Below are 20179 nucleotides of genomic sequence, written 5' to 3'. Positions count from 1 at the left end.
ATCCTGAGCCAGATTCTAGAGTCAGACCGGGGTTCAGTCCTGGCTTCCCCAGTCACTAGCTCCACCAGCACCCCAGGGCCAGCTCACATCTGAGCTTCAGTTTCTCATTTACAGAGATGGCTTCTAGTCTCTGGAGAAGCTTAGCTGAGGCACTGGACAGGCTGCACCTGGCCCTGTGTGTGGCCCGTAGCAGGTGCTCAGCCACTTTCCATCCTTTCCTTCTTCACCATCACTGGCCATGAGCATGTCACTAGGGCACTCTGGAATGCCAGGGAGGAACAAAAGCTTGATGGCAAGTCCCAGACAGTGAGACAAGAAGCCCGGAGCCAGCCTGGCCTCAGTCAGGTCATAGTGGTGGGCTGACGGGAGCCCTGGAGACCCAGCAGGATTAACAGCGCCTGGTGCCTGTAACCTGGACCCCTCCAGGAGCCCTGCACAGCTCCCAGGCTGAAGCTCTGGAGAGGGAGAGGGAGAGAGCATGGACACAGGCTCCAGGTGCCAGCTACTCCCTGCCCCGCCCCCATCCCCACGAAGTCACAGGGTGGGAGGGTGGGAGTGGGGAGCACATCACTGCCGGAGGCCCACCTGAAAGCAGAGGTGGGCACTGCCTCCTTCTGCCCCAGGTTGTTGTTTAATCTGTCCTCAGCCACATCTCCGGGGCAGCCCACGAAAACCTGGAGCAAGGCTTCCCTCTGTTGAGCAGCCTCCAGGCTGAGCTGTATGTATAACCAGACATGTTCAATGTTCCCGGCAACCTGCAAGGTTTAGTGTTACAGATAAGGAAACCGAAGCTCAGAGAGGTGAGAGCAGCTCTTCCAGTTCCCTCTATCCTACACCCCTTCCCCTCCAGGGGCAGGCAGGTGATAGCTCTGCCTCCCCAGGCTTTGCACAGGGCCTGGCATGAGCCTGATCAGTGAGTGTGAGCTGCTGTTGATCAGATCCCCAAGCCTCCCTGGGCACACACAGCTGGAGGGTCCGCCTGGTGCACGGAAGAGCACTGGCCCAGCTGCTTCCCAGCTGCCTGCCCTCACCAGCTCCTTCCCCTTACCGCATCTCAACCCTCCAAGCCTCCTGGGGCACGGCCATGATGCCTCCTGTGGGTGGGCCCCAGGGATCCCACCCACAGGGGAGCCCCCTTGTCTGCCCTAAGCACCCTTCACTGAGGAGCCAGGGTAGAGGCAGGAAGTGAAGGAGGCAGGGCAGGGGGAGACTGGCCACTGGAGGCCCTGCTCCTGCCACCTGCTTTAATATGAAACCTCCCTGTCCTCCAAGGGGCACTCGGGACCCCTCAAACCAAGTGAGGAGACCTCTCCTGAGGTCGGCTTGTCTTGCTCCTGGGTGGGCATCTTCCATACACCTGGTGCCACCAGCCCTCAGGCCTCCCTGCAGCCCCCATGCCACAGTCCTGCAGGGCACCGTCCCTCCATCCCAGTGGCTTCTGCTTTCTGAGCAGGTGCGGGAACACCCACCCGCCCACTAGTCACGAGAGAAGGTGGCTTGCCACACTCCTAGCGCATCCTGGAATTGAGGCCCCGCCTGCTGCCTTGGAAGACAGTGCCACTGACAATAATTTGCCTTGCAAATTGTTCCCCAAGCAGCACGGTTCTCAGGTAGACGGAGGCCCTAAGGATGGTGCAGGCCTGTGGGCCTTTTATTTCAGCAGGGCCGGGCTAAGGTCAGCAGAGGGCCAAAATGGGCCTCAGAGTCACGGGGCTGTGTACTAAAAAGGCAGAGTCCAGGAGACCCTGGGCTGCCTCAGAGGCCTGGGTGGCCCTTGGGGATCATGGGCGTTGGGGCCCCGCAGCCTTAGACACGAGCAGCGCTGGCTCTGGAGGAGCCTGCCGGGGTGTCCTGTCCCGTGTTCTCCTTGAGAGCCACTTCCTTGTCAGGGCTGCAGCCTCCACAGTCACCCTGCGTCCAGCCACACTTGAGCCCCACCCCACCCGCGCCACCACCTGCATGCACTGTCACCAGCGTGTCCCCAGGCAGCCCTGGGGCAGACCCAGCCGGCACCCCCCCAGCAGACAGGTCTCAGGATTGACCATTTGCCCAGTGGAGGTAGAGGCAGGCGGGGAGGCGTGGTCAGGACCAGGCGCGGCCCTCTGCTGAGGGTGTCAAGTTCCCTCCACCACACCCTGCTGACTGTCAGAGGCGCAAGGGAGGCCACATTCGTGGTGCCCAGCACAGCGCTGGCCATAAGGCTGCTGCACAACACTAGTGACGGGCCACAGGGCCTCCCCGGAGTTCAGAGGGCCCCTCGGGAGATAGGCCAGCCAGGGAGACCAGGGCCACTGTGTCAGGGGCTTGCCAGGGAGCACGGCGTGGCTTTTATCCCAAAGCGATGGGAGCCATGGAGGGTTCAGCAGCCAGCTGTGGGAAGATGGTCAGAGGTCAGAGGTCCCCAGATCTGCCGGAAGGGCCGGCCAATCCCTTTTCACCGCAGCTTCTGTTGATTCTAGGGACAGAAGGGCAGGTGGGCCAGCCCTGATTGAGGGATCAGCAGGTTCTGGCGAGGACCCCGGGCTGCCCCCATCATCAGGGTAGGCCACTGAGGGGCAGGGAGGAAGAAGGGATGGCAGGGCCTTTGTGGGACGCTGGGCCCATGCCAGACCCACCGGATCAGAGCCTCTGCCCTGGTGAAAAGCACCTCAGCGATGTTCAGGCACAACACAGGTGGGAAACCCAGGGCCTAGGGAGGGGAGGGTCCTTTGCCCACAGTCCCCCCGTGTGCTGGCACTGAGCCTGGCACCCACACCCACTTCCCATTGTGCACCACAGAGCGCCCTTGTGCCCTGCACAGCGCAGCACCACACTGCCTCCTCCACCAGGGGCACATTCGCCCTTCAGTCCTGCCCACCTCGCCTCCCAGCTCACTCTCCCTTCCAGGCCCAACAGAGGGTAGGGTCCCAGTTCCCAGACTTGCTTCTGTTCCTCTTGGGGCCTCCAGAGTCCCTGCTCATTAATCTAGTCATTGAGCACAACTCATTAGACACCTCCGCCGTGCTGGTCACCTTGACGCTGCCCTGCCCAGATAGCGTGTGGTCAGTGGGAGAGGCCTCTGCACACACAGACAGCGCTGCCCTGTGGGGCAGAAGCCCAGGGTAAGGCTCGGGACAGCTTTCGGGGAGGCAGGTGGGGCCTGCTGTGTCCTGAGGAGTTGGTTATTCAAGGCCAAGGGGGGTGCCCTGTGGAACCCTGAGGAACCGTGCTGGGGTGTGGCGGGGCATGGGCTGGGAGGTGGGCAGTGTGAGAGGAAGGCGCAGACCCAGGAGAGAAAGGCGAGGTCTGGGCCTTATTTCATGCCCCCCGCCACTCCATAAACTGTTGACACCTGGGGCATGTCACATTCATCTCTGTAGCTCCCCTCTCCCGGCCACCTAGCACCGTGAAATTGACCCGCCTGTGAAGACCAGTGGCTGTGTCCAAGGCGCATCCTAGCAGGGCAGGGAAGTTCAGATAATAATCATTGAATGAATTAGCAACTGCCTGTGGGTTCTGAGTCTCCATAGGCAGAGCTTCCAAGAATGGCACCAACAGTGAGAGTGTGGACCCAATCGCAGAGCAGCTTCCAAAGCACTGTCGCATCCACTGTTCTGCCTGGGCCTTGCAAGAACTGTGTGGTAAATATGATCATCTCCATGCTACACATCCAGAAGCTGACTTTGAGAAGCCAAGGGACTTGCCCGGGGTCACACAGCCGGCATGTGGAACCCTGTCATTCTGCCTCCATAGCGCCTGTCCCTTAATGTCCACCACACGGTGACTGAGACTGTCCTTTAAGGACCTTGTCCCAGACCTGGGGCGGCGTAAGCAGGCAGTGCCAACCCAAAGGCCAGCAGTGGCTGCAGCTGTTCCCAGGCATCCTTTTGTCCTCGCCCCTGCTTCCCTCTGTCAGAGCGCTGGCAGGCTGCATGCAGGGTCCAGTGGAGCGCCCGGCCTCCCCTGCAGGGCCCAGCCCAAAGCAGGAGCTCCCCAGAGAGAGACCAAAGGCCAGACCTTTTAACTTGTCTGAGATTTTCCCCACATGCTTTCGAGCCCCAGCCAGCCCTGCGCCTGGCCTTCCTTCTCCTTGGCCACCCTCGCCCTACAGGGTGAGCGCTCTCCCCACCAGCTGGAGGAGGAAGCCAGGGCACCAGCGGGTGCAGACCTCACGGTGAGGATCCCATCAAAGCCCTGATTCTCTGGCCTTGGCCGGCTTACTTATCAGCCTGGAGTGTTGCAGACCAGGGTTCAAATACTGGCTCCTCCCAATAGCTGTGTGACCTGAACACGGCCAGCTTCTAGGGTGTGTGGCGTGTGCGGTGGCCCAGGACCCCGCCCTTAGAAGGGCCCACGATTGGTTTCATGTTCTGTCTCTGTCTTGAAATTCTTAGCAATTTTTGAACAAGGCAATTCCATTTTTATTTTGCGCTGGGTTCCACAAATGATGTAGCCATTCCTGCCTGGACAGGCAATGTAAGTTCTCCATGCCTCCAGGCCTGTCTCCTTTGGCACTTCTGTGTCCCCCGGGGCTGCTGTGAGGCCTGCTGAGGTTCATGGATGATAGGTGCCTTGTCCACTACAAAGGGCTGTATTGTTCCATGATCTCTCCAGGTGGAGAGAGAAAGCCTCTAGACAAGAGCTCTGTAGCTTTTGTCTACAGGCTGGGGACAGAGAGACTGGAGGGCCCCCAGGGTCCACAAGGAAATTCTGTCTTTAGCTCCCCGGGACAAAGCTCCTGGAGGCTGCTCTGCGTCCTCCTCCTCTTCCCAGTCCCAGGCGCCTGAGCCGCCCTCCACAAGTGTGTTTCAGGGTGGGGGAGATTCCTCATGAGGCCATAATGTCAGCCCCTGGTAGGGGGCAGAGGCCGGGATGGGACCCAGAGAAGGCCCATGGGTGAGGAGGAGGAAGGCCCAGAGCCCACCCCCAACCTCCCCACCGGGCAGAGATGCCACTGCCGCAGCCTCGGGGCCCCGTTTGCTGCTTGTATTTGGAGGGGCCCCATGGTAAAGGCGGCCTGGCCTGCTTTCTTACTGTCTCTGAGACAGCTGTGGCCTAATACCAGGTCTGGGTGGCCTCTGGTCCTGAGGAACAGGAGGAGTGAGGCTGTTTTTTTGAGGATCTCAGAGATGGGGGAGCTGGAGCGATGGCCAGGCTGGTTGTCATGGAAGGCAGGGGCCTCCTCAGCAGCAGCACCGGAGCCTCTGCTTGAAGACTCCCAGGGACGCGGTGCTCGGCCCCACCAGGCCCGCCTGTCCTGTCATTGTAGACTTCAGTCCCCAGCCCTCACTTCAGCCCAAAGGACCTAGGTCAGTTTCACTGTTGTTCCCTCTACCCGTCTTGCATTTATAGTGAACCTCTAAAAACCTCACAATATGGCTGAGGTGGGCACCGCATAAATGGCCATCCCTGTGCTGTAGAGGAGGGATGGAGCCCCAGGCAAGAGGCTGCAGCCTGCCCCAGGCCCCGAAGCGGGAAGAGGTGAGGGCGGGCCCAAGGCCAGACTGCTCCCTCCACTTGACCCTCCCTGCCTGCACAGGGCCTGGCAGAGAGCGTCCCGGGGACTGCTGGCTCCCAGCGCTCTTACATGAGCCTGACATGGGCACATTTCTCTGGCTGCCCAGGATGACACAGTGGTCTGAAGGAGGGACCATGGGAGGTAGTGACAGTTGCAGGAGGACACTGGTGGCCTGGCCACAGTAAGAGCAGGGGCTAGAGCTGGGAAGTGCTGGGGAAGCAGCAGGCCCAGGCCCTGGGTCCCAGGGGGAGAGGAGGGGGCTCCTCGTCTTCGGCTTGGGGCAGGTAGGAGTAGCATTCCTGCAGACAGGGAGCACTGGGGGAGGAGCTGCTAGAGGAGGATGATGAAGAGTCCAGCGGCACGTGCTTGGTGGTAGGGCCCTGGAGCTGCCAGGTGGGTCACTGCCCGCAAGGAGCCAAGGGGGTTAGACTCAGATGGAGCAGGTCCCCTCCAGCTCTGCCATTGAGGCTGCACAGCCTTGGGCCGAGTTTCTGATGCTCCGTACCGGATCCTCTTCAGGGAAGAGGAGGGCACAGGAGCCACGAGGCTGGGAGCATGAGAGTGGGAGGCGGAGCAGGGCCCAGCCCGTGGTGACCACGTGACCCCTGCTGTGGAGCGGGTTGGTCAGCACCCAAGAACGGGCCCTAAGGGACTAAGAGCCCCTTGTTCAAAGCCTGATGTTTACATACCAGCCATAGACTGAGGCAACTCGTGAACTCAAGCTGCCTCGTCCAGAGAGCGGGTGACCTTTCAGGTGGAGCTTCCAAGTCCCATTAGGGACTTCAGGGAAGAGAAGAGCCTCCAGGATTCTTGGAGTCTGTTTGGCCGGGTCTGTCTCTCAGGGTCACTGCCCCTAGCGCCTGCACCACACCTCACCTCCCCCTCCGCAGAGACCCGGTGCCCTCAGCCCTGAGTTTTCATTGCCTGTCTCCCCCACCCTCTGCACCCTGCCATGTTCCCCCATCTCTCCAAGGCCTGAGCCTGAATTACCTCCACCTGGAAAACAGGCACATTCTCTGCCCACCTCTCCAGAGGGGGGCTCTCCCACAGGAAAAGCTGAGAAGGCAGGAGGGGAGCACATTGGCTCCTGGATTCGGGCGTGGGAGGCAGGAGGGGAGCCCATTGGCTCCTGGATTGGGAGTGGGAGGCAGGAGTTCCCTCTCTGGTTGTCAGCCCAGGGAGGAAACTAACAAGCCAGGCCCTTGTAAGCGGGTTGATTTGACCCTCACCTCCGCCCTGGAAGAGAAGGCTCGTCCTTATTTCCAGGTGTGAGTGCGGAGGTGCAGCCCCAAGGGGTTGGCTGCCTGAGGGGCTCCGTGAGTGACAGCCAGGACTCATTCCCTGGCCTGCCCACCTCCACTGTCCCAGTAGATGGCCCAGAGGGCATAAGCCGGCCAAGTGCCAGTCATACCACCTGCATGAGCCTGAGGAAGGATGACACCTTCCCTCCGTGTCTGGGGTATCAGGGAGGCTCCTTGCGGAGGTGGGCTCTGAGCCAGGCCTTGAAGGATGAACAGGAGGGAGGCGTCCAAGCCCTGGGACCAGCACACTGCCATGGCAGGAGATGGGAGGGCAAAAGACTGGTTCATAAAAACCACCCATGCCCAGCTGAGGTCCAGGATTTGAGGAGACACACAGAGGACGAGCCAGGAAGAGTGTCAGGGTCAAGACCACCCACCTTCCACTGGCAGCCGCAGCTCATCCTACGGTGGTGATGGCTCAGCCGTGACCATGAGGAGGACGCCCACCACCTCAGCCCTGCAGAATCTCAGATGCACACGCACACACACACAGAGGGGAACATGAGGTTCCCCTCTCCCCCTGCACACGCCTACAAGGTGAAGTTCAAAGGAAAGGCACCATGCATTTCATTTAATTAGCACCAGGGAGTCCCGACAGCTGAGGGTATGTATTCATTGACTCCCCCCAGCCTGCAGAAACGCAGACCCCACAGCACAGGAACAGAGTAAACCCATTAGGGAGACCGTTAAGGGAGAAGGCACACCAGGGCCAGGAGTCCAGGTGATGCCAAGGCGAAGGCAGGCAGGGGGATCCAGGTTATAAGAGATGGGCGCCCATTGGCTTTCCACCTCCCAGCAGCAAGGCGAAGAGGGAAGCCCATGCAGCCACAGCTTCCACAAGATAAAAGCCTGCCAGATGCTTAGGAAGAAACCCAGGTGGCAGAGACCCAAGGGCTGGACCAGCCCCCAGCATCCTGGTGTGCCAGCTCTGCCAGCCCCTCCTCCAGGCCTGAGGGGGCTCACTCACGGCATGACGGCTTCAATGACCTCGGTTATGCCCTGAGCCACTCTAGCCCCTTTGAATTTTGGAGAAAAAAGAAAAAGCACTAGACAAGCTTCAAGTGGACAAAAACCAGATGCCTTTGGCATATCACTCAGTGAGAACAGATGTTGGGCTGAAAGCCTCATCAAGGTGATGGATGGTGTGTGAGCCCTCAGAACCTACCCCTCGGCTCCCTGGCCGGGGCCACAAGCCAGTCTGTACTGAGGTGCATTTGGGGGCCCCAGTCACCTCCAAGTAACCTCTAGCCTGGACTTGGAGTCTGAGTCCAGGCAGGTCAAAGTTTTAGGAATCCAGCCTCGGGCAGTTAAATACAGCCAGGCCAGTCTGGCCCCAGATAGCAGTTTTGACCCTATTGGCAGCAGCCTCTGTATAAGCACAGCCCTCTGCAGTTTGCGGTGTACTCATCCCTCACCACATGCAACCCCACAGGAATGGTGTCATTCCCCCATTTCACAGATGGGGAGCTTGAGGCTCAGAGAGGCAGCACAGCTTCCCTAGAGTCCCACAGCCAGAGAGTATATCAGAGCCAGAGCTTGAACCCGGGTCTCGTCTCCTGTCTCATAGAAGATCTTTCCACGGAAGGGGAAAGCCAGTGGCTTCTGTCCAAGGAAACTGAGGTCTCTGTCTCTTTCCCTCCCCAGAGACGTGCGCAGTCAATAACGGAGGCTGCGACCGGACATGCAAGGACACAGCCACTGGCGTGCGATGCAGCTGCCCCGTTGGATTCACACTGCAGCCGGACGGGAAGACATGCAAAGGTCAGCATGTGGAGCTGTGTGGGTGCCCCTGCCTGTACTGGCCTGGCCAAGAGCCTCCGTGTGCTTGCATAGCCGGGCCCAGGGCTGGGCTGAACGGGGGCCACGTGTAGCTGTGGGAAAGGACACGTGGCAATCATTTGCTTTGCTGTTGGAGAGGCCAGGAAGAGGGAGGGCTGGCCAGCAGCAGGGTCCCCAGCAGAGTTCGAGAGAACACAGGTCCCACGGCACATCAGCAGGTTCCTGGGCCAAAAAGGCACTGATGTCAGAGAATTTGGCTGCACGCTGGGTTAAACAGTTAAGCCAGCGTCTCTACTGTGGGACTTCCTGGGCCCTCAGTGATAGTGTGGCTTCCCAAGGCGCGTAGAATGTAGCGCGTTTCCGAACCCCTTGACCTTTGGTTGCAGTGGGTCTTGCAGAGCTGATGGGGACAGTCTGGTGTTGGGCCATCTGGGACACACAGGTCTACTCATGCCAGGAAAAATAAGGACAGTGTGTCACTACTAGGGGGGCGAGGCTAGGGGGATCCCATCTGAAAAGATAAGGACTCAGGACTTCTGCTTGCCATCAGAAAATGAGGAGTCAGGAAGACCTGAGAGTGACTGGTTGAAGGAAGGAGGGACAGGGCTGGCCTGCTGGTGGCTGGCAGTGAGGGAAGGCAGAGGTGTATCCTCCCACTTGTCCCCTGAGTCACCCCACAAAGACTTACTGAGTACCTCCTGGGTTGAGGGGACCCTCAGGAAACAGGAAGCCCAGGGAGCTGGGAGAGGAGAGCTGGGTGGGCTCTCGAGACAGCCCTGCAGATGAGGAGGTCCAGCTACCCCCAAAGGACAGACGGAGCCCCAAGAAGCTGTGGGCCCTGGGGCAGGGTGTTAGGCCTGAGTGCCGGAGCCCTCTGTGCAGAAGGGTGAGGGGCAGTGCTCAGTGCCCCCAGCATCACTCCAGACCACCCTCCAAACGCCCCCACCCCAGCGCTGGGCAGTACCCCCACACTCTGCCAGGAAGGGAGAGCCTAGAGAGCAGGGCGTGGAGGGGAGAGGAACTGGAACTTCCAAAGTCCCATCGGGGAAAATATTGAAAGTGGAGGTTAGGGTGACTTAAAATAGCTTGAGGTGGACTTTTTTTAAGCCTGTAAAAATAAATGTATTTTTGTACAGTGTATGACTTCTTCCTTGCCAACTTGCTGGGAAGAACCGAGTGATTATTGACAGAAATAACAGTGCTTCCGCCTGTTTATTTGAAAATAAAGCCCTTCTGTGGCCACCGCTCAGCCTGTTAATAGCCTTGGTGCGTTCCTGGCAGGCAAGTGGGCAGGTGGGTGGCATCTGAGTCCTCGCCACATGACTCAGTGCCAGGAGTGACTGGCCGAGGAAGCCCAAGGTCTGTGCAGATCTGGGCATCTTCACAGCCCGGCGATGGCACAGCCTGCCAGCATTTGCCTTCGGAGGGCCAGAGGGGCAGGCAGAGCTTAATTCCTTGGGCAAGGCTGGGGCTGTTGGAATGGGGTCTGGAGGCCAGGAGCCACCCTGTCTGGGCCAGAAAGGGGCCTGGTGCAGGGCAGGCATGTGGCCCAAGAGGGGGCTACTGGGATTGGGGCTCCCACTGCTGCCCCCTAACCATCCCTCGGTAGCCCAAGGGACACTCGTTTCCTCCCACTCTGGTTCTGGCTCTGAGGGTAGGGTGGCGCTCAGGAGTGATGTCCACAGCCCCAAGACAACCCCCCAACCCCCCCCACCCCACCACATTTCCTTTGCTCTTCAAGCGGTCGGGGCCCTTTCACCAGGCTGCCCCACTCAGCCCTTTGGCCAGACCTCCTCCATGGACGCCCAGCCCTGGGCCTGTGGCTGCACTCAGAGCCCTTAGGGCCCTGGCTCCCACTGGCCAAGGTCAGAGATCATCTCACTCGCTCGCTCACGGAACAGGTGTGTTTTCTGGGCTCCTATTGTATGCGGGTTCCAGTGAGACAGGATGAATAAAAGAGACGGTTCCTGCCTGTAGGGGTCCTCTACTGAGTGCAGAAGACAGGTTTTCATTTTTAAAATCACTGAGATAATTGAGTATCACAGGCTGCTTGGTGTGGGATAGAGAAGTTCAGTATGGCAGGAGGCTGGGGGAGGCCGGGGAGGGCTGAGGGGAAGAGGCATTTATCAGGCAATGATGGGGGCAGGGGAAGCATTTTCAGCACTGTGACTGTTGCCAGAGGCCTGTGGGTTCAAGGACCTGGGACTGGGAAGGACGCAAAGGAGGCGGGCCAGATGGCGCAAGGCCCAGGGCTACCCTACAAGCTTGGCCAGGTCCCAGTCAGCACTGGGCAGGGGAGGCTCACACCCAGGTTTTCATTTTGAACTGACACTGGCCACAGTGGGGTCACAGTAGGGTCTGGAAGACCAACAGCCAGGCACAGCTGCTGTCACTCAGGCTCGTGGCAGTGCCAAGGCAGGACTGGCAGCAGACATAGAGAAGGCAGAGACTAGACATGTCCATAGATGCCCACATTTCAGCACCAAGGGACTGGCTAGAACTGCCCACAGGACCACCTCAGGGAGCCTGAGAAACCAGACGGTGGCCTCCAGCCCCAGGGTTGGTGTCATTGGTATGTTCCCAGCCCTGGCTGGAGAGGCACAGGCAGGAGGATTCCCAACAAATTGAAGACCCTGGCCCCAGGGTTTGGTTCCTCGGTCAGGTGCACACCCTGATCTTGGCAGGGTCTGGGGAGGATCTCAAAGGAGAGAGTTCAAAGGCTCCACGTTTTCTGAAAGCCAAAATGTCAATGTCAAGCAAGAGGAGTGGCTGGAGAACAAAGGTCACAGCGGGCTTGGACAACCCAGGGCTGCAAACCCCGGGCAGGTGGGGGTCACGTGGGCAGGTGGAGGCAGGGTTGGGAGAGTTGGGAGGTTTTGTCCAAATGTCGGGGACGAGGGGGGCCTGGAAGATGCGCCTAAGCCCTCGTCTCAAGGGCTCCCTGCTGGGTACCGTGCCCGTTTGGTGTTGGGAGGTGGTTATCTTGCTAATCGGTCCCTCCAAGAGGAAGGGGGTTCTGGGCCTCAAGAATAAGGATGCAGGACTGCTGCTTGCCGTTGGCAAGTGAGGAGTTGGGAGGATGGGAAAGTGACTGTAGCTGAAGGAAGCAGGGAAGGGCTGGGCTGCCGGTGGCTGGCAGTGAGAGAAAGCAGACGTGTATCTTCCCTTCCTCAGCGGGAGCCTGCATTTCCCTCAGGGTCACCTGCCCCTCTTCCCAGCATCTCCAGAACAATCTGGGAGAACCCCCCACCTACCGCCTGTTTCCTCTTCCCCCTCTGCAGTGCTCTGGGCCAGGCAGGCCACAGCCAGGGCTTTTACCCGAGTGGGAGCAATGGTGCCCTCGAGTGACCGCCACCTGGCCAGCCCCGCCTAGCAGCTGGCCCTCCCTGCTGGGCACTCCAGGATGGTGCCAGCCCATGACCCTGTGCCCTCCCTCTGCTCCCACCCAGAAGCCCTCCCCTACATGGTCCCCCACGTGAGATGGGCAGGAGGGAGCCAGAACCAGTGTCCTGTGCGTCCCTATAGCTCACCCCATCGCCCTGCCCCCATGCACACCCACTCAAGCTCCAACCCTGGGTGATGTACCCAAAGAGTCCACTCAGTGGCCCAAGACCCCACCCTTCCCTCAACCCTCAGACCCGCTCCATTGTCTGGAATCACCCTGACCCATTCCTTTATTCGGTGAGCGTTCCTAGACACTCACGCTGGGCCCTGGGGCACCAGACAGGAACAGCCACCCCCAAGTCTGTGTCCCAAGGCCCTCTCATGCCCCCAAAGGCATTAGCTCCCATGAAGAGGGAGCTACTGGCTCTGGAAAAACACTGGGAAAGGCTTTCTGGAAGGGCCGTTTTTCCCAGGGCTGGGGTCAGCAGGTGAGAGGGGGGCTGTGGCTGTACTGGGTGCGGTCACTGGAGTCCAGGCTGCCAGGGCAGGAGCCAAGCAGCCTGGAGAAAGGAGGCAAAGCAGCCTGGCCGGGCTGGAAGGGAAGCTCTGGGAGCCTCTGCAGAGGGAGGGCCCACATCCTAGCAGACTCAGGAGCCTCAGAATGCTGGCCAGCAGGCAGGGACTCAGCCAGATTTGTGTGCGGAAGGTGGTGCTGGCTGCCTGGTGTGGGGCGGTGGGGTGGGAACCCAGGAAGGAGCGGAAGGGCAGAGAGGTGCAAAAGCTGCACCCCAGGGGCCATGAGCCCAGCACCCCCTTCACTATATCCTGAGGTAGTGTGAGGAGGGGGCTTCCCTCCATCCTGACCCCCAGGCAGCCAGCTACACCAGCCCGGGCCTCAGGCAGACATGCCTCCCTCTGCCTGTCTGGTTGCTATGACAGCCCCTTAGCAGACAGGCCCAGATGGGGCAGGGGATGGGGCTGGGGGCTCTGGAAGGCCTGAGGCTCCACTGAGGAGGCAGGAGTGGTGAGAATGATCACGTGCTGCCCCTGTCTGCTTAGCAGCCTCAGCTCATTTCAGTTTGCTAAGGATGCTGGGAGAGGCGATGCTAGGAGAGGCACCATTTAGCAGCCCAGTTTGCAGATGGGATCCTAAGGCTCAGAGAGGTGCCTTTCCCTGCCCAGCATCACACAGCCAACTGAGGCAGAGTCAAGATGGGCCTCTGTTCTTCTACCTGAGACTTCTATCTAGAAATTCCCCATCTGCCTATAATCCCGGGGCTCGGGGGGAAGGAATGATAGAGATTCCTAAGCCTCCGCCCTGGACCAGCACAGCTGGGCTTCATATCTCTTTCTTGGTGGCTGCAGGGCCAGCGTGATGTGCTGCAGCAGGCCCGTCTTTGGGTTCGGATGGTGCTGGCTGAGAGCCGGCTCCTGCGTGTGGTGCTGTGACCTCATCTGTAAAATGGGAGCCTGCTGTCTGGGTTGTTTTGAAGGTCACACGAGATGATACCAGAAAGTACATGCCATGTCCCTCCCCGAGGCTCCCAGAGAGCCATGTGGGCATCCAGCCCTGCACTCCTCTAATATTCTTGACCAGAAATTGACCTCTAATAGCCTGGTTTTGTCATCACTGGGGGATGTTGCCTGGGAACACTGCTTTAGGACTTTGGGCAGGTATGGAGTCCAGCCTGTTTGGTTTGAAGAAGAAAAAGTGAGAGCGACATGGGCCGGCCTGAGGTCAGAGTAGCAGTGCCAGGAACAAGTTGCCTCTACGGGGCTCAGTGCCATCTTTAAAGTGGGGGCAGACTTACCTTCTGTACAGAGCGGTGCCAGTGACACTGGACAGGGCCCTTCAGGTACCTGGCTCAGCAACCATGCCCAGGACGGGCTCTGCAGATGCTGGAATCTGCGTCTGGCAGGTCTGCTGAGACGTGGCTGGTGACCAACAAGAGCTGATCTTCCCATTGTCCTCCTTGGAAGGGCCTCTTCCGCTACCTCCTTTTTGCTTCTGCAAGTCAGGGTGAGACCACCGTCGTGAAAGGCAGCACTGATTATTATTATTATTTTGTTTGAGATGGAGTTTTACTCTTGTTGCCCAGGCTGGAATGCAATGGCACAATCTTGGCTCACCGCAACCTCCACCTCCTGGGTTCAAGCGATTCTCCTGCCTCAGCTTCCCGGGTAGCTGGGATTACAGGCATGCGCCACCACGCCCAGCTAATTTTGTATTTTTAGTAGAGATGGGGTTTCTCCGCGTTGGCCAGGCTGCTCTGGAACTCCCGACCTCAGGTGATCCGCCCGCCTCAGCCTTCTAAAGTGCTGGGATTACAGGCATGAGCCACCGTGCCCGGCCAGCACTGATTATTTTTTTAAGCCACCCTGCAGTGTAGAAATAAAACCTCTTATTTTTGTTACTCACTGCTGGAGAGAGTCTGGAGGGGGTGGCCAGCATGGGGGCCTGGAGGTCGGGACCCAGGAGGAATTTGGGAGTAGCTGAGACTGTGTCCCTTGGAGAAGAGGCCCCTTGGGGACAGGGACCTCTAATGGCACAGAATGCCAGGCTGGCCCAAGGCCTAAGGGCAAAGCCCAGATGGGCCCGACAAGGGAGCAGGAGCATGGGGGCTCACAGGGGTCAGGGCTGTGTTTAGGGTGAGGAAGACATCTGTGAGGCATCGGCCAGCAGGCCATGCTGGGAGGGAGAAAGTTTCCTGTCCCTGGAGGTGTGCAAGCAGAGGCTGACTGGCAGAGTTGCTCAGGATGGCATCATTTATTACACGGGATCGGGCCAGGCAACCTTCGGAGCATACTACAACTCATTCACTGTTAAGCAAAGAAGCAGCTCAAACAAACAGGCGGGGAGTCAGGCTGGGAAAGGGGGGAGCGTCAGGCCCGCTGCATAGCCCAGCTCCCCACTTACCTTTTGAAGCCTCTTGAACCAGGTGCTTTCCCTCTCTAAGCCTCAGTCTACTCCTCAAACAGAGGCAAAAACACCTACTTTTTGAAAAAAGTTTCTTGAGCGCTGACCAAGCACCGGCACCGTGGAAGTGTTTTTTCACCTAGTCCTCGTGATATCCTTCAAAATGGGTGCACTTCCTGTCCTCGCTCTGCAAGCAGGAGACCAAGGCTCAGGGGTCCGGGAGCTTGCCGAGGTCACCAGAAGTGGTGCCTGCCTGCTCCAGCCTCCCTGCTGGCCAGGCGGCCTCCCTGAACCTGCAGAAGAGAGGACATGGGAGAGTCGCTGTCCCTGCTTTCTTGCCGGGCACAGCAGCCATCAGTTCCTCTCTACTCAATGTCTCACATCCCAGGCTTGCCAAGTCTCAGGGGAAGTGGTGAAGCTTGGGGAGCTGGCCCTTCCCAGTACAACCCAGCCCCGACCCTGACCCCTGCGAGACAGGGCCCCCACCCCTCTGCACAGCTGGGGAGCCAGCAGCCAGCTTGGGAAGTGGGCACCAGGCAACTCAGGGCAGTGTCATCCCCTGCCGCTAGCCTGCCGTCCCCCCGCTGGTCACACAAGCTGATTCTCCTGGCTCTCACTCCTCCATCCCCCTTGGCTCCCACAGACATCAACGAGTGCCTGGTCAACAACGGAGGCTGCGACCACTTCTGCCGCAACACCGTGGGCAGCTTCGAGTGCGGCTGCCGGAAGGGCTACAAGCTGCTCACCGACGAGCGCACCTGCCAGGGTGAGCCCCTGCCATGCCCCGGGTGGCTCTCGGGCCCAGCGGGATCGTGCCCCTTCCCCTCCTGGGCTGACACGGGCTCCTAGGAGGGGAGGGGAATGCGGATGGGGCTGGGCCCGAGGGAATGGGGTCCTTTACGACTCTAGGGGACATCCAGTCCAATCTGTTCCTTTTATTGATGGGACACTGAGGCTCGAGAGGGCTTCAGCACATGTCCCAGGTGGCAGAGGGAGCCGGTGGCCCAGCTCATCAGTTCACCCAGCCCCTCCCTTCCCAGGTGGCCCACGGGCCTCCCAGCATCGAACTCCTCTGGCTTCGGAGGTGGGATGCTGCCATCTGTTGGAAAGCGTTGCACATTGCAGGCAGGCGCTCTCAAACAATCCTCACCTGCTGGGAACAAGGATAATGAGGAGGGGTCTGGGCAGAAGCCAAGAATCCCGGCCCAGGAAGAGTCTAGTGGGATCCAGGATGCAGCAGGAGCCCAGAGGCTGGCAGTGCAGAGCGGGGTCAGGGAAGGCTACGGGGAGGGTCCGTTGGTGAAATGCCTGAGGGGTGAGTAGCGATTTTCCAGGAGGAGCCAGGGAGGTAAACCCACCCAGGAGATGGCGCTGCCGGCCTGAGGAGGTTTAGGGGACCACAAGGAACTTGGTGGGGCCGGATGAGGCCATGAGGAAGGAGACAGGTACCCTGTGGGCCCCACACTGGGAGAAAGTGCAGGGGGTGGGGCACCCCATGTAGCAGGGCAGGGGCTGTCTTTCCCTGACGATTATCCAGCTGTGCTCTGGTGGTTTTTTGCCCACGGGGTACCAGCAGTTGCGGGCAGCATGTGGCCTTGTCTGGGTACCAGGCTGTGCTTCTGCCTGTCAGTGCAGCTCAGGGGCTGGCACGGGGCAGGGTGAGGCCCTGAGGAGCGAGGGCTGTTCTCCCACAAGGTCCCTGAGGAATGTAAAAGCAGGAGGCTGGCGAGAGTAGGGCCAGGGCCTGCCGTCCTCAGAATCATGTGTGCCCCAGGCCAGCCGCTGCCTTCCCCAGGCTCAGCCTCTTCGTCCCTGGACGGGCATCCTGGCCCTGTCTTCTCCTCAGGGCCTGAGGTCTAGACAGGAGCACAGTGTCTGTCCAGGCCCTATCAGGGTTCTTCTGACTTTGACTTTGTTTCTCTGTTGGCCTTGCCAAGTTCTTCTGCAGAGGGCTGAGGAGAGCCCTTGACCTTGCATCCCAGCTGCCCCCTGAAAGAGGCAGGCGGCTGTCGAGGAGGAGGTGAGATCGCTTGTGAGGCCCTGTCCTCACCCGCCCCACCCCCACCTGTATCTTTTCCACCCCCTTCCAGGCTCATCTTTCTGAGGCCTTGGGGCTCTGGGCTCCACAGGTCCAGCAGGGAAGCGTCCATGCTCCTTTGCTTGGCACTCAGGGGACCCCAGACACCACCCCAGTCCCCCTTGGGCTCCACACAAGTGGACCTGCCAGGGTGGCTCCTAGGAGGGGAGGGGAGTTCAGATGGGGCTGGGCCCAAGGGAACAGGTGCATCCCCTGGGCACCCCATGCTCTTACCTCCTAGCCACTGCCTGGAGCACCCTTCCTCCACATTCATTCGCTCATTCCAGGCTGGTCCCATCCTTCAGATTTTAGCCCAGGTGCCGCAAGTACCCGGAGGTCCCAGATCCTCCCTGGGAGGGAGCACACTCGCCTTTGAGCACCATGCACAATTTCTTCCTTGTGTTAGTGGTTTTATAAATACGCGTATATTACAAATATTTGTGAAATTACATGAGCTAATGTTTTCAAAGAATGAACTCTTAACTGCTATGCCCAAGGAGGGGCAGGTTGGCGTCTGTTTTGCCTTCAGGGGTCCCCATCAACTGTCCCATAACAGCCATTTTCCTCAGAATTTATGGCCAGGACAGACTTGTCTCCAGTCAACATGGTGGTTCATTTTTTCCTTTCCAGGAACAAACACCCCATGACCTTCCCTCTTTCCCTTTTTACCTTGGCTGCCAGGAAGCTCATCATCACATTTCACATTCTATCAGAGCTCCCTTTTTGACCTTTATGGGTGGCATATTTCCTCTTCTCTTTTTACCTGTGTGGTTTTCCTTATTTTCTCAAGAAACATCATGGGGTGATGGGGAAAGATGCTTTGGTCAGCATCCAAGAGGCCTAGGTTTATGTCCCAAGTCAGCTGCCTCCCCAGGGCCCTGGGGCCAGCTGCAGTCCGTTTCCTGCAGGCGTGGATTCAATGCCTCTCTACCACTCCTAATTGGAGCTGACTGTGAGATAGTAAAATGGCAGAGATTCATAATAATCCCTTCCATTCACAATGTTTCTGCCCTGCTCGTCTCCAGAAAAGACGTGAGGTGGCTCCCAACCCAGAAACAGAAGGCTAATGGAGACACAATGGAAAGTCGAGCAGCAAGGAGTCTCCCATTTCCTGTGGGTCGGTGCTGTGCTGCGCCTGCGCCCAGGGACTGTGTGTCCACAGATGTGCCTTGAGTGACTGAGAGTGACAGGCCGTGCCCACCCACCACTCCCTCAAACTCCTCCCCCAACTTTGTCTCCCTGTGGCCACGCAGACATCGACGAGTGCTCCTTCGAGCGGACCTGTGACCACATCTGCATCAACTCCCCGGGCAGCTTCCAGTGCCTGTGTCACCGCGGCTACATCCTCTACGGGACAACCCACTGCGGAGGTCTGCAGCCTGCCCGCCAGGGCCACCTCCCCCCCGAGGCACGCGCCTGGCCGCACGGCCACCTACACTGCACCCCGCATCCCAACCCTGCCCTCAACCCTGGGGGGCCTGAGGCCTCAGCAAGGATGGGGACTCCTGGGCAGAGGGGCTCAGCCAAGGACAAGTGAGGCAGGGCTGGGGAGACAAGGGGTAGCAGGGAACGGTTAGAGGTGGGTAGCAGGTCTCTGCCAGTGCCAGGCCTTGGCCAGATGGGCACGGGGCTGGAAACCCCATTTACTAGAGAACTCGGGCCAGGAGCGGGGGCACCAATACATGGAAATTCCAGACAGCTCGTTCCAGGGAGGCTCACAGCAGAGAGGGGCAGAGTAGAGGGGCAATTCGGGATCCTCAAGGGGGAGTGTTTGGCTGGGGGTAGGGAGGCACTCCAGAGGGATCCGCATGAGAAAGCAGTGGACAGAAGGACCGAGAGGCAGCCACAGGACTGGAGCCCACAGGAGGGAGCTCAGAGGAAGATGCGGATAGGGGGCGCCATCCCACCATGCAGGCTGCGTGAGCCCGCAGGGGAGTTGAGGGTTTATTCCCAGTCAGATGAGAAGCCTGTGGAGGGTTTAAGCAGGGGTGTGATATGGTCAAGTTCATGGAACTAGATGCCCCAGTGACCACATGGAAAGGAGAGTGGAATCCAGGGTACCACTGGGAAGACAGCTCCAGGCATGGGAGCATGCACTGCTGGAGCCGGGGCAGGGTGGGCAGCGACGGAACAAAGAGGAAGATTCTAGATGTATTTAGGAGTCAGAGCCAGGCTGCTGGGACTTGGTGTTATATGGGCATGGTGGGTGAAGATTAGGAAGCCAAGGACGGTCCCCCTCTCTCTTCCTTTTCTGTGACCTGGGGGTAGCCACACTCACGATGCCAGGCCACTTGAAGATCAGACAGGGTCAGGCAAGAATGTGATCAGGACATAGCTGGTGCTTGGGCTTCTGGAGGCGGGCTACAGATTCTTCTGGAAAGACTCTCGAAAACTTGGGCACCCCTTCCCTGGGCCTGCCGAGTGCAGGCAGCTCAAGAACTAACAGAATGTGGGGCCCAGCCCCTTCCCCCAGCTTCAGCGGGTGCTTTTGGTCAGAGGAGGAAAGGCCTTAGCGGTGACCTCTTTCACCCTGGTGTCTGTTGTACCACAGGGGACCCGGGGCTAGAAAAGGGCTTGTCCAGAGTCCCACGGTAAAATCAGTTTCACAATCCCTGGAGCAGTGCTCATTCCCTGCGCCACAAAACCTGGTTGGGTTGGAACTTTAATCGTGTGCTACCTCCTCTGCCCCCTAGCCTGGGGTGCAGCTGCTTGAGTTCAGAAAACCACCCAGGTTCCTGGGGGAAGGGACGCTGGGGTCTGTGAGGAGCCTTATAAACCCACGCGTGTGTGTGCGTGTGGCGTGTGCACTGCTCATCTGCATCCCGTGATGCTGTCCGACTCGGTGGGGTCAGGAGATTCTTGCCCTCTTGCCCTGGGTGGTCCCTTCCCCTGCCAGCCGCCAGCCGCCAGCCTCCCCTCTGCCCTTACGCCCGCTGTGCTTCCAGATGTGGACGAGTGCAGCATGAGCAACGGGAGCTGTGACCAGGGCTGCGTCAACACCAAGGGCAGCTACGAGTGCGTCTGTCCCCCGGGGAGGCGGCTCCACTGGAACGGGAAGGATTGCGTGGGTAGGTGGCCGCCCTGTGCTGCTGGCCCCTCCCCTGCACCTGGGCTTGGATGGGAGGGACAGTGGCTTTTCTGAGGTGGGGGTGAGCAGGACAGCCCCTCCCTTTCCTCTAGGCCTTGCATTCCCAGGCAGAGGTTCTCTGCTGTTGGGGTATGGC

General features: G+C 59.3%; 1 protein-coding gene across 1 annotated transcript in view, besides 3 other annotated features; it reads left to right on the top strand.

Moving 5' to 3' along the window:
- Window positions 1-20179, top strand: part of SCUBE1 (signal peptide, CUB domain and EGF like domain containing 1) — a 146093-nt gene that overhangs the window by 95976 nt on the left and 29938 nt on the right. Inside the window, exons 7-10 of the mRNA NM_173050.5 lie at window positions 8443-8559; window positions 15522-15644; window positions 18209-18325; window positions 19901-20023. Coding sequence (NP_766638.2) covers window positions 8443-8559; window positions 15522-15644; window positions 18209-18325; window positions 19901-20023 — 480 coding nt within the window. The remainder of the gene's footprint in view (window positions 1-8442; window positions 8560-15521; window positions 15645-18208; window positions 18326-19900; window positions 20024-20179) is intronic.
- Window positions 8176-8676: an enhancer, noted in NCBI's record as "H3K4me1 hESC enhancer chr22:43634727-43635227 (GRCh37/hg19 assembly coordinates)". NCBI's record gives its function as "activates a minimal SCP1, AML or CMV promoter by ChIP-STARR-seq in primed H9 embryonic stem cells {active_cell/tissue: H9 hESC(primed)}" and the evidence as "EXISTENCE:reporter gene assay evidence [ECO:0000049][PMID:30033119]".
- Window positions 8677-9177: an enhancer, noted in NCBI's record as "H3K4me1 hESC enhancer chr22:43634226-43634726 (GRCh37/hg19 assembly coordinates)". NCBI's record gives its function as "activates a minimal SCP1, AML or CMV promoter by ChIP-STARR-seq in primed H9 embryonic stem cells {active_cell/tissue: H9 hESC(primed)}" and the evidence as "EXISTENCE:reporter gene assay evidence [ECO:0000049][PMID:30033119]".
- Window positions 15860-16154: a silencer, noted in NCBI's record as "tiled region #15411; K562 Repressive DNase unmatched - State 8:EnhW". NCBI's record gives its function as "represses a minimal TATA promoter and a strong SV40 promoter by Sharpr-MPRA in K562 cells {active_cell/tissue: K562}" and the evidence as "EXISTENCE:reporter gene assay evidence [ECO:0000049][PMID:27701403]".

The sequence above is a fragment of the Homo sapiens genome, chromosome 22, assembly GCF_000001405.40.
Source record: "Homo sapiens chromosome 22, GRCh38.p14 Primary Assembly".
NCBI classification, from domain to species: Eukaryota; Metazoa; Chordata; class Mammalia; order Primates; family Hominidae; genus Homo; species Homo sapiens.
This window is presented reverse-complemented; position numbering and strand designations above follow the sequence as displayed.